Source organism: Homo sapiens, chromosome 12, assembly GCF_000001405.40.
Source record: "Homo sapiens chromosome 12, GRCh38.p14 Primary Assembly".
Classification (NCBI taxonomy): Eukaryota; Metazoa; Chordata; class Mammalia; order Primates; family Hominidae; genus Homo; species Homo sapiens.
This window is the reverse complement of record NC_000012.12, coordinates 112,428,860-112,443,918: the sequence shown is the minus strand read 5'-3', so window position 1 is coordinate 112,443,918 and position 15,059 is coordinate 112,428,860. Positions and strand designations below refer to the sequence as shown.

The 15,059-nt window shown below is 42.8% G+C and overlaps 1 protein-coding gene across 5 annotated transcripts in view, besides 1 other annotated feature; it reads right to left on the bottom strand.

Annotated features, from left to right (window-relative positions):
• PTPN11 (protein tyrosine phosphatase non-receptor type 11) overlaps nt 1-15,059 on the bottom strand; it is a 90,972-nt gene that overhangs the window by 66,000 nt on the left and 9,913 nt on the right. The gene's annotated exons all lie outside the window — the stretch shown is intronic.
• Nucleotides 5,023-5,226: a silencer, noted in NCBI's record as "fragment chr12:112876497-112876700 (GRCh37/hg19 assembly coordinates)". NCBI's record gives its function as "represses an EF-1alpha promoter that drives an FKBP-Casp9 reporter gene in an ReSE screen in K562 erythroleukemia cells {active_cell/tissue: K562}" and the evidence as "EXISTENCE:reporter gene assay evidence [ECO:0000049][PMID:32094911]".

The window sequence follows — 15,059 nt, the reverse complement described above, 5'->3', positions numbered from 1 at the left end:
ATTTTGGGAGGCCAAGGCAGGTGGATCACTTGAGCCCAGGAGTTCAAGACCAGCTTGGGCAACATGGCGAAACCCAGTCTCTACAAAAAAATATAAAAATTAGCCATGCATGGTGGTGTGTGCCTATAGTCCCAGCTACTAAGGAGGCTGAGGTGGGAGGATCGCCTGAGCCCAGGAGGTCCAGGTTGCAGTGAGCCAAGATCATACCACTGCACTCCAGGCCAGGCAACAGAATAAGACCCTGTCTCAAAAAAAAAAAAAAAAAGACCGGGCACAGTGGCTCACACCTGTAATCCCAACAGTTTGGGAGGCCAAGGCGGGCGGATCATGAGGTCAGGAGTTCGAGACTAGTCTGACCAACATGGCAAAACCCCGTCTCACAAAATTCCAAAATTAGCTGGGCAAGGTGGCGCAGGCCTGCAATCCCAGTTACTCGGGAGGCTGAGGCAGGAGAATCGCTTGAACCCGGGAGACGGAGGTTGCAGTGAGCCAAGATCGCATCATTATACTCCAGCCTGGGCAACATAAGCAAAATTCCATCTCCAAAAAAAAAAAAAAAGATACAACCATGAAGAGGAGTTTGGCGGGATGCAAAGAAATATCCTAATTAAAGGCCAGTAACAAGACTTAGCAAGTAACACAATGCATTAATGCATAACCTGGACATATAATGGACCAAAACAAACAAAATAAAAGGGAACAGTTTTTGTTGTTGTTTTGTCTTTTGCTATAAGGATATTACTAAAACAATTTGAAAGAGATATAAGGATTTGATGGTAGTCTTGTTATAATATACATTTGGTGATATACTGTGGTTATGTAACCAAGTGTCCTTGTATTTAAGAAATACACACTGAAGTATTTTGGAGCAATGAGACGCCATGTCTGCAACTTACCCTCAAGTGGTTCCAACAAAACTTAAATATAGAGACACATATATGTACACATGTATATATACATGTGTATTTTATATGTAGATATGTATTTTATATATAAAATACATACATATACATACATATATGTGTAGTGTATATATAATTTATATATATATATATATATATATATATATATATATATATATATATATAAAAAGAGAGAGAGAGAGAGGAGAGAGAGTAAACATGGTACAGGTTGAGTATCCCAAATCTAAAATGCTGCAAAATCCATGGCCAGGCGCGGTGGTTCACTCCTGTAATCCCAGCACTTTGGGAGGCGGAGGCAGGTGGACCACCTGAGGTCAGGAGTTCGAGACCAGCCTGGCCAACACGGTGAAACCCTGTCTCTACTAAAAATACAAAAATTAGCCGGCCGTGGTGGCAAGCGCCTATAGTCCCAACTACTCAGGGGGCTGAGGCAGGAGAATCACTTGAACCCAGAAGGTGAAGTTTGCAATAAGCCAAGATCGCTCACTGCACTCCAGCCTGGGTGATGGAGCAATACTCCATCTCAAAAAATAAATTAATTAAATAAATTTAAAAAGTGCCCACATAACACTCAAAGGAAATGCTCATCATAGCATTTCAGATATTTCAGATTTGAGATTTGGGGATTAGAGATGCTTAAGTATATAATAAAAATATTCCAAAATTCGAAAAAATCTGAAATCCAAAACACTTCTGGTCCCAAGCATTTTGGATAAGGGATACTCAACCTGTATAAGGTTGACTTGTAAATCTGGATGAAAAGTTAACACGAATTATTTGTACTATTTTGCAACTCTTATTTAAATTTGAAATTATTTCAAAATAAAATGTTTTTTAAAACCCATAAATGATGAAATCCATCATGAATGGCATCTGCTTCAGAGGAGTCCTCTCTAGTTACCAGCAAAAAGATATTCTTGGGCAGGCGCGGTGGCTCACGCCTGTAATCCCAGCACTTTGGGAGGCCGAGGCGGGCGGATCACAAGGTCAGGAGATCGAGACCATCCTGGCTAACACAGTGAAACCCCCTCTCTACTAAAAATGCAAAAAAATTAGCCAGGCGTGGTGGCATGTGCCTGTAATCCCAGCTACTCGGGAGGCTGAGGCAGGAGAATGGCGTGAACCCAGTAGGCGGAGCTTGCAGTGAGCCCAGATCACCACTGCACTCCAGCCTGGGCGACAGAGTGAGACTCCGTCTCAAAAAAAAAAAAAAGATATTCTTCATGGATTTCAAAAGTCATTGAGATTCATGGTAACAGTAACTTCTAAAGTCAAATTATCCTGGACCTTTCTAAGCTAATAGAATGCTCTGAAATGCTCCCAGGAATATGTCAATATTAAATGTAGAGTTCTAGTACTGACAATCAAGTGAACTTTTAAGAGACTTCTCCACAAATATTGACCCAATTCAAGTATCTTACAACAGTGAAGGAGACCAGGCACAGTGGCTCACACCTGTAATCCCAGCACTTTGGGAGGCCAAGGTGGGAGGATCACCTGAGGTCAGGAGTTCAAGACCAGCCTGGGCAAAATGGCAAAACCCTGTCTCTACAAAAAAATACGAACATTAGCCAGGTGTGGTGGCATATGCCTGTAGTCCCAGCTACTCAGGAGGCTAAGGTGGGAGGATTGCTTGAGTCTGGGAGGCAGAGAATGCAGTGAGCAGAGATCGCACCACTGCACTCCAGCCTAGGCAATCGAGCAAGACCTCTTCTCAGATTTAAAAAAAAAAGGCTGGGCAAGGTGGCTCATGCTTGTAATCCCAGCACTTTGGGAGGCCGAGGCAGGTGGATCACCTGAGGTCGGGAGCTTAAGACCAGCCTGACCAACATGGAGAAACCCTGTCCCTACTAAAAATACAAAATCAGCCGGGCATGGTGGCGCATGCCTGTAATCCCAGTTACTCAGGAGGCTGAGGCAGAAGAATCGCTTGAACCCGGGAAGCGGAGGGTGCGGTGAGCCAAGATCGCCACCACTGCACTCTAGCCTGGGCAACAACGCAAAACTCCATCTCAAAAAAAAAAAAAAAAGAAAAGAAAAGAAAAATCGTAAAGCTCAGATCAAAATAATGAAATATTCATTTGCTTTTTACTCTCTCTGAGAGCTTGTCAGAAGATTGAGTCTGGGCCCGGTGACTCATGCCTATAATCCCAGCACTTTGGGAAGAGCTGAGGCAGGAGGATTACCTGAGGTCAGGAGTTTGAGGCCAGCCTGGGCAACATGGCAAAACCTCATCTGTACTAAAAATACAAAAATTAGCCAGGCATGGTGGCACACATCTGTAATCTCAGATACTCGGGAGGCTGAGGCAGGAGAATCACTTGAACCCGGGAGGCGGAGGTTGCAATAAGCTGAGATCATGCCACTGCGCTCCAGCCTAGGCAACAAAGCGAGACTCTGTCTTAAAAAAAAAAAAAAAAAAAAAAAAAAAAGGCCAGGCACAGTGGCTCACGCCTGTAATCCCGGCACTTTGGGAGGCCGAGGCAGGCGGATCACGAGGTCAGGAGATTGAGACCATCCTGGGAAACCCCGTCTCTACTAAAAATACAAAAAAATTAGCTGGGTGTTGTGGCAGGCCCCTGTAATCCCAGCTACTCGGGAGGCTGAGGCAGGAAAATGGCATGAACCCAGGAGGTGGAGCTTGCAGTGAGCCGAGATCATGCCACTGCACTCCAGCCTGGGCGACAGAGCAAGATTCCGTCTCAAAAAAAAAGGAAAATTGAGACAGAATAGAATTTCACCCGGGAAAACGTCAACCTCAATTTATGTGATACCTATTATTCTAGCATCCAATACTTTTGCATTCAGAATGGTTAAACTATTCCGTTAAGAAAAAAAATCCTTCCTTGCAGCTTCTTTCATCTGTGGTTCCAGATGAAAGATGCCCAGAATTCTAAGGAATCAAAAAGTAATGACAACTGGCTTCTAGCTATTTATAGTTTTTCAAAAAGGTATAATGAAACTCTTACATTAGGCCTCAATTTGTCTACCTACATAAGCTAATTAAAATGTCAACTCTCTTTTGCTTTTGGCTGCAAAACAATTATGTTAATTGGGTGTGGCAACTGGAAACTGAGTGGCATATGTGCCTTCTACCAAGAGGAAAAAAATGGAAAAACTAATTATTATATAACACAGGTGTGGAGACCAAATCTTTCAGAATATTGGGTTTATGGTTTGGGTTTTTTTTTTTGTTTTTGTTTTTTTTTTTAAAAAAGGACAATCCAGCCATGCATGGTGGCTCACACCTGTAATCCCAGCACTTTGGAAGGCCAAGGCAGGTAGATCACCTGAGGTCAGGAGTTCGAGACCAGCCTGGCCAACATAGTGAAACCCCGTCTCTACTAAAAATACAAAAAATTAGCCAAGTATGGTGGTGCGCGCCTATAGTCCCAGCTACTCCGGAGGCTGAGGCAGGAGAATCACCTGAACCCAGGAGACGAAGGTTACAGAGAGCCGAGATCACAGCACTGCACTCCAGCCTGAACAAAAGAGCGAGACTCCGTCTCAAATAATAATAATAATAATACAAAAATTAGCTGGGCATGGTGGCTGGCAACTGTAATCCCAGCTACTTGGGAGGCTGAGGCATGAGAATCACTTGAACCCCAGAGGCAGAGGTTACAGTGAGCTGAAATCACACCACTCCACTCCAGCCTCGGCAAAAGAGGGAGACTCTGTCTCAAAAATATAATAAAATAAGAATAAATTTTTTAAAAAGTTTAAAAAAAAGGGCAATCCCCTCCCCAAATGACAGGCTGAGAATCACTAACACATGGTGGCAAAGCCTTAGGGGTAGCCACATAGACTCTGGTGCCAGATTGTCTTGGTCTGAAGCCCAGCTCTCTGTGACCCTGGGCTACATATTTAACCTCTCTGTTAAGTCCTATAAAATGGAAGGTGTAACAGTACCCATGTCATAGTGTTGTTGAGAGGATAAAATGAGTTAATATTTATAAAGTATCTAGAAGAGTGCCTGGACTTTCAGGTAGCCAAGGACAACGATGATTGCCTAAATCCATCTCTCCCCATACATCCTTCAAAAACAACATAGAATTAAAAACAAAACAAGCCAGGCACAATGGTTCATGCCTGTAAATCCCAGTGTTTTGGCAGGCTAGGGTGGGAGGATTGCTTAAGGCCAGGTGTTCAAGACCAGCCTGGGCAACATAGCAAGATCCCATCTCTACAAAAAAATTAAAAATTAGCCAGGGACCAGGCACAGTGGCTCAAGCCTGTAATCCCAGCACTTTGGGAGGCCAAGGTGGGTGGATCACTTGAGGTCAAGAGTTTGAGACCAGCCTAGCCAACATGGTGAAACCCTGTTTCTACTAAAAAATACAAAAATTAGCCGGGTATGGTGGCATGCACCTGCAGTCTCAGCTACTCGGGAGGCTGAGGTGAGAGAATCGCTTGAACCCGGGAGGCAGAGGTTGCAGTGAGCCGAGATTGCACCACTACACTCCAATCTGGGGGACAGAGCAAGACTTCGTCTCAAAAAAAAAAAAATTAGGTATGGTGGTGTGCTCCTGTAGTCCCAGCTACTCAGGAGGCTGAGGTGGGAGGTTCATCTAAGCCCAGCAGCTTGAGGATGCAGTAAGCTATGATCAAGACGCCACTGCACTCCAGCCAGGGCAAGAGTGGGACCCTGTCTCTAAGAAACACACACAAGAAAACAATAAACAAATAAAATGACATGAAAACCACACCCTCAACTTAAAGAGAATGCCCAAACTTCCAGATTACCTGTAAGCAAAAAAAAGAAAATATACCAAACGTCAGTGAGTGACTGCTCAACCTCCTACTCCAAGCCTTTGTGCAAAAGAAGAGCATTCTGAGAAAAACAGCATGGTGTAGAGAACAGGGTAGCTAGTGGCAGGCCTAAAATTGCTCTAAAACCACCCCCAGAAACAGAAAGTCCACCCGAAGTGTGAAAATACTTCAGGTACATCAGAGTCCTGTTTATGGAAAGGGGCATGATTCCAGGGGGAAAGACTAAAAAGTTGTGGAAATAAGTCAGAAAACCTAGAACAAACGTGTAATTTTTCAGGGAAATGCAGTCTACAAAAATTAACCCATTAGAGTAAGAAAACTTAGGCAGACCAACTTGTATTAAAAAAAATAGAGGGAGCCTCTCTGAACCTATTCTGGTTCAGAGGCTACCTGATTAAAAATAAGAAAAAATAGGGAAAACAATTAAGGAACTACCGCACAGAAAATCACCAGGCCCAGATGGATTCCCAATGGACTTCTACCAAACCTTCAAAGACCAAATAGTCTCAATTCTTAAAATCATTCCTGAGTACTAAAAAGAAAGGAAAACTTCCAACTTCCTTTTACAAACTAAATATAACACTGATACCTATACCAATAAAGATGGCACAAGAAAAACAACAGAGACCAATGGTACTCATGAATATTGATGCAGAACTTCTAAACAAAATATAAAAGAATCCAATACCACATTTAGAAAATAATGCACCGTAACAAAGTAGTTAGAACCATACATCATATCACATATCAGAATAAATTTTAGGCCGGGCACGGTGGCTCATGCCTGTAATCCCAGCACTTTGGGAGGCCAAGGCGGGTGGATCACTTAAGGTCAGGAGTTCGAGACCAGCCTGGCCAACAGCAAAACCCCATCTGTACTAAAAAAAAAATACAAAAATTAGCCAGGCGCGGTGGCAGGTGCCTGTAATCCCAGCTACTTGGGAGGCCGAGGCAGCAGAATCGCTTGAACCCGGGAGGCGGGAGGCAGAGGCTGCAGTGAGCCAAGATCATTCCACTGCACTCCAGCCTGAGTGACACAGTGAGACCCTGTCTCAAAAAAATAAAATAAAATAAATAATAAACGTAAAAGATGAAACAATGCAATACTAGAGGAAAACATGGGTGAATGTCTTGTTAACCTTAGAATAAGGAAAGGCTTTCTATGACTCAAAATCCAGGGGCAATAAAAAAAAGATTGATAAATCTGGGATAATTTTAACATCACCTTTCATCAACAATTCAATTGCTTTTTAAGAAAAATTCATTAAATGGTAAAATTTATTACCATTTTTACCATTTATTACCATTTATTACCATAAATTTAATTATTCATTAAATGGTAAAAAACCTCAAGGACTGAAGTCAGTTCTAACTTGCAATTTGAGGGTCTTTAAATCAATCATTCTTTGGAAACCAAGAAACTTAAATTCAACTCCATTCAGAGGCGGACAACTTACAACCCACAGTCCCTCCCACTGAGTTCAGTGCTATTCTCAGCCAAAAAAAAAAAAAAGCCTTCATTTCTATTATAAAAGCAATGAAATGCCAAGGCTCAGAAAAACAGACATACTATTAAATCTGGATGCATATTTTGCTCTTCTAGCACTTACTCATGTTTTTCAACCCAAAAGACTAACACCCATGTAAGGGGAGAAGTATCAGGAAAATGCTTCTGAAAAACATATTTTAAAAATCTGATTTGAAGCATCTCTTGGTTATTGAAGCAACCTACAGAGCCAAACCACTGTCTCAAATCCCAGAATGCCACATCTCCTGGGCAAGCTAATTAATCTCTCTGCTTCGGTTTTTACATCTGTAAAATGTGGATAATAATAGTGTTTACCTCATAGGAAATGAGAATTAATGAATTAATGCACATAAAAGAACTATAAAGCATATAAAGCATTTAAAACTATTAAAGCTTGTTTGCTTGTTGTTACCTTAATGAATACATAAAACAATTATTGACTATAATATCTCTACCATAGATTATGTTTCATTAATATGCAATTACTCTAGTATTAACTAACTTATTATTTAATAATCTTTATCTTGAATGCTACTTAGCCCGATATTGGTACCACCTGAATCTCTTTTGCCCATGTTTGTTTTATTTATTCTTTGACATTCTGTGCCAATTTGTCTTTTTAAAGCAGAACACAACTGAATTTTTTTTTCTTTTTTCAAAATATTTTTATAAAATAGAGATGGGGTCCCACTATGTTGTTCAGGCTGGTCTCAAACTCCTGGACTCAAGTGATCCTCCCACCTCAGCCTCCCAAAGTGCTGGGATTACAGGTGTGAGCCACCATGCCCGGCCTGGATTTTTTCTTTTAATTCCATCTGGCTCAGCCATTATTGAAGGACTTAATCCATTATCACTGACAGCTCATGTTTGGTATCATATCTGCTGATTGTTTCCTACTTTCAATTTTTTTTCTGTCTTTTGCCACTTAGTGACTTCAGTGACTGTCTACTTCAGGCAGACACCTATTTCTTACTCAAATAGAATTCTAATCATTTTTAAATTATACTGGTAGTCATATTGTAGTATTTAAAAAAAAAAAAAAAAAAACCTTAATCCTACAGTCCCAGGTTATTGAAGGGAAAATAACTTTTGCCTCTCTTAGATGGAAAGTGAAGAATTTCTGGCTGTTGTTTTACTAGTCTCCATTAAATGAAATACAGCAGGCTCAGCGGTTGCTTCATTTTAAACACCAGTTAGACAGCCTAGACCCCCACAATCTACCTGCTTATCTGTTCCCTGACTGTCACCACTGTCATCTCTTCTTTTTTTAAAATAGATTCTAAAAGAATTTCTCACACTTGTCCTTGACCTCACCCCTGTGATGGCAGCCTCAAACATAGTATTATTAACTGCTTTTATGCAGATCTTTGTACAGGGCAGGGCAAGGTGGCTCACACCTGTAATCGCAGCACTTTGGGAGGCTGAGGTGGGAGGATTGCTTGAGACCAGGAGTTCAAGATCAGCCTGGGCAACGTAGGGAAACCCCATCTCTACAAAAAATTAAAAAATTGGTGGGGCATTGATGGCACACACCTGTAGTCCCAGTTACTTGGGAAGCTAAGACGGAAAGATTGCCTGAGCCTGGGACGTCGGGGTTGCAGTGAGCTGCGATTGTGCCACTGAGCTCCAGCCTGGGCAACAGCACTTTCGGAGGCCAAGGCGGGCAGAGCACTTGAGGCCAGGAGTTCCAGACCAGCCTGGGCAACATGATGAAACCCCATCTCTACTAAAAATACAAAAATTAACTGGGCATGGTGGTGCGTGCCTGTAGTCTCAGCTACTTGGGAGGCTGAGGCACAAGAATCACTTGAACCTGGGAGGTGAAGGTTGCAGTGGGTCAAGATTGCACCACTGCACCCCAGCCTGGGCAACAGAGTAAGACTCTGTCTCAAAAAAAACAAACAAACCCACAACCTTGTATATATACATATATACACTGACACGTATGTTCATGTGCATATACACACTACTCCCTCTGAGCCTGTGTGAAACACACTCGACACACACACAAATGGGATTCTCTTGTTTTACACCCTGATTTTTTCACATACTACAACTTGAAGATCTTTCTCTCTTTTTTTTTTTTTTGAGACGGAGTCTTGCTCTGTCGCCAGGCTGGAATGCAGTGGCGTGATCTCGGCTCACTGCAACCTCTGCCACCTGGGTTCAAGTGATTCTCCTGCCTCAGCCTCCCGAGTAGCAGAGACTACAGGTGCACGCCACCATGCCCAGCTAATTTTTGTATTTTTAGTAGAGACCGGGTTTCACCATGTTGGCCAGGATGGTCTTGATCTCTTGATCTTGTGACCTGCCCGCCTCAGCCTCCTGAAGTGTTGGGATTACAGGTGTGAGCCACTGCGCCCAGCCAAAGATCTTTATCAGTACTTTGCTGGGTTTTTTTGGTTGTTGTTTTTAGAGACAGGGTCTCACTCTGTTGCGCAGGTTGGAGTGCAGAGGTGTGATCATGGCTCACTGCAGCCTCAACCTCCCAGGCTCAAGCAATCCTCCCACCTCAGCCTCCTGAGTAGCTGGGACTACAGGAATGCACCACTATGCCCAACTAATTTTTTTTATTTTTTGTAGAAATGGAGTCTTGCTATCTTGCTCTGCCTGGTCTCAAACTCCTGGCCTCAGCCTCCCAAAGTGCAGGGATTACAAGTGTGAGCCACCACACCTGGCCCACATCTAGGACTTCTTGACATTTTACAGGAGGTTTTGTTTTTGTTTTTGTTTTTTTGAGATAGGGTCCCACTCTATCTCCCAGCCTGGAGTGCAGTGGCACAATCATGGCTCACTACAGCCTCAACCTGCCAGGCACAAGCGATCCCTCCAATCTCAGCCTCCTCAGTAGCTGGGACCATGAAGGTGTCCAATACCAAACCTGGCTAATTGTTTTATTTTTCCTTTGTAGAGATAGGGTCTTGCTATGTTGCCCAGGCTGGCCCCAAGCTCCTGGCTTCAAGCAATCCTCCTTCTTTGGCCACCCAAAGTGTTGAGATTATAGGCATGAGCCACTGCGCCCAGCCAGTACCCTTTTATTCAATGGCTACATAATACCCCATTGTATGAATGTGCCATCCATAATCTAACCCTTCTTATAGGACATTTATGTTATCCTCTGGTTTTTTGTTATTACAAATAATGCAGCAGAACATATCCTTTACAATCATTTTTACATACTTTTACAAATAAATCTGTAAAATTAAAGTTTTAGAAATAAAATGGCTTTGTCAAGATACGGTCATGCATTGCTTAACAACAGGAATATGTTCTGAGAAATGCATCATTAGGCGATTTCGTCACTGTGGTAACATCATGGAGCGTACTTACACAAACCTAGATGGCAGAGCCTACTACACACCTGGGCTATATGGTATAACCTATTGCTCCTAGGCTACACACCTGTACAGCATGCTACTGTACTGAATACTGTAAGTAACTGTAACACAATGGTATTTGTGTATCTAAACACATCCATACATAGAAAAGGTACAGTTTAAATACAATATAAAAGATTAAAAATGGTGGCCAGGTGCCTGTAAATGGTGGCTAATGCCTGTAATCCCAGCACTTTGGGAGGCTGAGGCAGGCGGATCACTTGAGGTCAGGAGTTCAAGACCAGCCTGGCCAACATGGTGAAACCCCATCTCTACTAAATATATAAAAATTAGCCAGATATGGTGTCCTGCGCCTGCAGTCCCAGCTACTCAGGAAGCTGAGGCAGGAGAATCGCTTGAACCCAGGAGGTGGAGGTTTCAGTAAGCCCAGATCACGCCACTACACATCAGCCTGGGTGACACAGCAAGACTCCATCTCAAAAAAAAAAAAAGTTAAAAATGGTATGTCTATACAGGACAGCTCCACCATAATCTTTTTTTTTTGAGATGGGGTCTTGCTATGTTGTCCCCACTAGTCTCAAACTCCTGAGTTCAAATGATTCTCCTGCCTTGGCCTACCAAAGTACTGGGATTACAGGTGTGAGCCACTGTGGCTGGGCCCATAATATTCTTTTTTTTTTTTTTTTTTGAGATGGAGTTTTGCCTTGTCATCTAGATGGGAGTGCAGTGGCCCAATCTCACCTCACTGCAACCTCCGCCTTCCGGGTTCAAGCGATTCTCCTGCCTCTGCCTCCTGAGTAGCTGGGATTACAGGCACCCGCCACCATGCCTGGCTAATTGTTTGTATGTTTTTAGCAGAGACAGGGTTTCACCATGTTGGCCAGGCTGGTCTCAAACTCCTGACCTCAGGCAATCCACCCACCTCGGCCTCCCAAAGTGCTGGGATTGCAGGTGAGAGCCACTGCACCCAGCCCATTATATTCTTATGGGACCACCATTATGTATGCCGTCCATCATCAACTGAACCATCATTATGTGGCAAATGACTATATATAATTTTTTTATTTTGACAAATATTGTCAAACCACCCTCAAAATAAGGTACTGGTTTGGACGGGCATAGAGTGTGAAATCCCCTGTTTTCCCTCACTTGTGCCAATACTACATACATTACCAAACTCTTTCATCTTTGTCTATCTGATTAATGGAAAATGGTACCATGTTAGTTTGCATTTCTTTGTGAGACTGAGCACTTTTTCATGTTTTCAGACCACTTGTGTTTCCTTTTCTATGAGTTGTCAGTTTGTCGTTGCTCATTTCCTATTAGATTTTTTTTCTTACTGATTTGTAGGAGCTCTTGATATAACCAGAAAATTACCCTTTACTGTATGTGTTGCAAATATTTGTCTCTGGTTTTTTTCCCCCCTTTTTAGTCTGTGGTATTTTTTTTCCTACAGAGGTTCATGTTGGCATTGTTAAATTTATCAGATTTTTCCATTATGATTTCTGGGTTTCTTGCCATGCTTAGAAACTGTCTTAATTCACAGCAATGTTGTGTGGTGGAAATTAATTAATACATGCAAAATGTTTAGCACAGAACGCCCTTGGAGTTTCACATTTGGAACTAGAAATTTAGATGTTATCCAGAAGAAAACGTTTAGAAAAAAGTCACAGATCTTAACAGGACCCTGTACGGCATGGCCCCTGGTTGACTCTGGTTCTCTGATCACGTCTCCGATTTCCTCCAGTTGGTACACGCAGCTTTTACATGTGCTTTTCCCTCTGGTGGTCCCACAGTCAGATCCCCCATCCTACCTTCTCAAAAAAAACCCTGCTTCTCAGGGGTGACACTCAACATGGCAATATAGCATCTAATCACACATTTCTACAGTCACCAGGTTGAAGGCTAGACTGGCAGTTCCATGAGGGTGAAGGACACATCTATTTCTTTTATTGTTTTTTAGAGATAGGGTCTCGCTCTGTCCCCCAGGCTGGAGTGCAGTGGTGTGATCATGGCTCACTGCAGCTCCAACTCCTGGGCTCAAGCAATCCTCCCACCTCAGCATCCCGAGTAGGAACATGTCTATTTCTTCACCACCGTATCTGCAGCCCCTAGCAAATGGTTAATACAGAGCAGTTCCTTACTAAACATTTGTGGCCAGAGGGAAGGAAGAGCAACCTTGGGGTAAGCCCCATCACTGCTCTCTCCTACATCCACACAGTTTCACATCTGTGACCCGGGTGGTGTCAACAGGAGGCTGTCAAGGATGACTCCAACTCCACGTACTCAAGAGGAAGAGGCAGAAGGCAGCTGACAAAGCCCTCTTCAAACTGGCCCCACCAGCAATTTATGTGGCAAAAAGATGGTCATTGTTTTTAATATACAGTCTCTTCTCACCCAATCGGTGGTACTGACAAGGATATTTTTCCCTATCTGTATGCTACTGTAGTCATTTTAATAAGAATTTGCAAAGTGAATGTCTAGGACACCTATGCATATGAGCCAAAAACTTGCTCCAAAGCCTCCCCGTGCATTTGGAAACACCAAATGTTGATATCTGAAACTAACTTGCAGTCTGGGTAACAAAGTAAGACCGCATCTCCACCAAAAAAAAAAAGAAAAAAAATTTTAATTAGCTGGGTGATGGCACATGCCTATAGTCATAGCTACTCTAAAGGCTGAAGCGAGGTCAAAGGTTTGAGACCAGCCTGGGCAACATAGTGAGACCTCATCTCTAGAAAAAAAAAAAAAAGTTTTGTAATTACCCAGGCATGGTGGCCCACACCTGTGGTCCCATCTACTCTAGAGGCTGAGACGGGAGGATTGCTTGAACCCAGGCATCTGAGGCTGCAGTGAGCCATGGTTGTGCCATTACACTCCAGCCTGGGTGACAGACCAAGACTCTGTCTCAAGATAAAAACAAAACAACAACAACAACAACAAACCTATATGAATCACAAAATTAAAAAGATGATTTATCCATACTTACATTGTTACAAACACTATTTTTCCACAATTATGAACTGGCTCTGATAATAAGAAAAAAGCAATATATGGCCAGGCGCTGTGGCTCACACCTGTAATCTCAGCACTTTGGGAGGCTGAGGCAGGCAGATCACCTGAGGCTGGGAGTTCAAGACCAGCCCCATCTCTACTAAAAATGCAAAAAATAGCCGAGTGTGGTGGCACACACCTGTAATCCCAGCTACTTGAGAGGCTGAGGCACAAGAATCACTTGAACTCAGGAGGCAGAGGTTGCAGTGAGCCGAGATGGTGCCACTGCACTCCAGCCTGGGCAACAGAGCAAGACTCTGTCTCAAAAAAGAAAAAAGAAAAATGTGATATGTTGGCTATTATACATTACAGCTGGTTAAAATTACAGCTATACTTACTGAATGTTTGCCACATGCCTGTGTGCAAAGCAGACTTGAGAAATCAAACTTTTCACCATTACATTCTGCTATTTAGTTCTAAAAATTTCTTTTTAATACCCTCATTCTTGCTGTCATCTCATATTTCTAAAAATTTCTTTTTTTGTTGTTGTTTTTTTTTTTGAGACGGAGTCCTGCTCTGTCACCCAGGCTGGAGTGCAGTGGCACAATCTCAGCTCACTGCAACCTCCACTCCCGGGTTCAAGCGATTCTCCTGCTTCAGCCTCCCACGTAGCTGGAATTACAGGTGTGTACCACCACACCCAGTTAATTTTTCTGTATTTTTAGTAGAGACAGGGTTTCACCATGTTGGCCAGGCTGGTCTCGAACTTCTGACCTCAAGTGATCTGTCCGCCTCAGCCTCCCAAAGTGCGGGGATTACAGGCGTGAGCCACTGCGCCTGGCCCACCCTGTCTCTTAAAAAAAAAAAAAAAAAAAAAAAAAGTAGTTTCAACTGCCAAAGGTGAAACTAGGTAAACACCACCTACATCCATCCAGATCAGCAACAGAAGATAAGGTAGGTGGTCTTCTCTTTTACCCTTTTATTACATAAACTGTATTATTTCATTTACAACTTACAATTATGCTATCCTGTTATTAAGAACAAACAGATGAGAATAGTATTTTCAGGGAAACTTAGTAACCAGTATTTAGCACAGAGGCTGGAGACAGTAAGGACTTAATAAACATTAGTTTTCACTATTATTAACATTATTATTATTGGTGGAGGTTATGCAGGATAGATACTTCTCATGCATAATTATGATAGTTTCACATAGGCAATTGTGACATGTATGTCATTTAAGCTAACACTGCTTCTTCATACACTTCTTCATGGCTCTGGAGCTGTCTCTACATTATTTCAAACAATAGTTAAGAGGCCGGACGCGGTGGCTCACGCCTGTAATCCCAGCACTTTGGGAGGCCGAGGCAGGCGGATCAGCTGAGGTTGGGAGTTCGAGACCAGCCTGACCAATGTGGAGAAACCCCGTCTCTACTAAAAATACAAAATTAGCCTGGCGTGGTGGCACATGTCTATAATCCCAGCTACTCGGGAGGCTGAGGC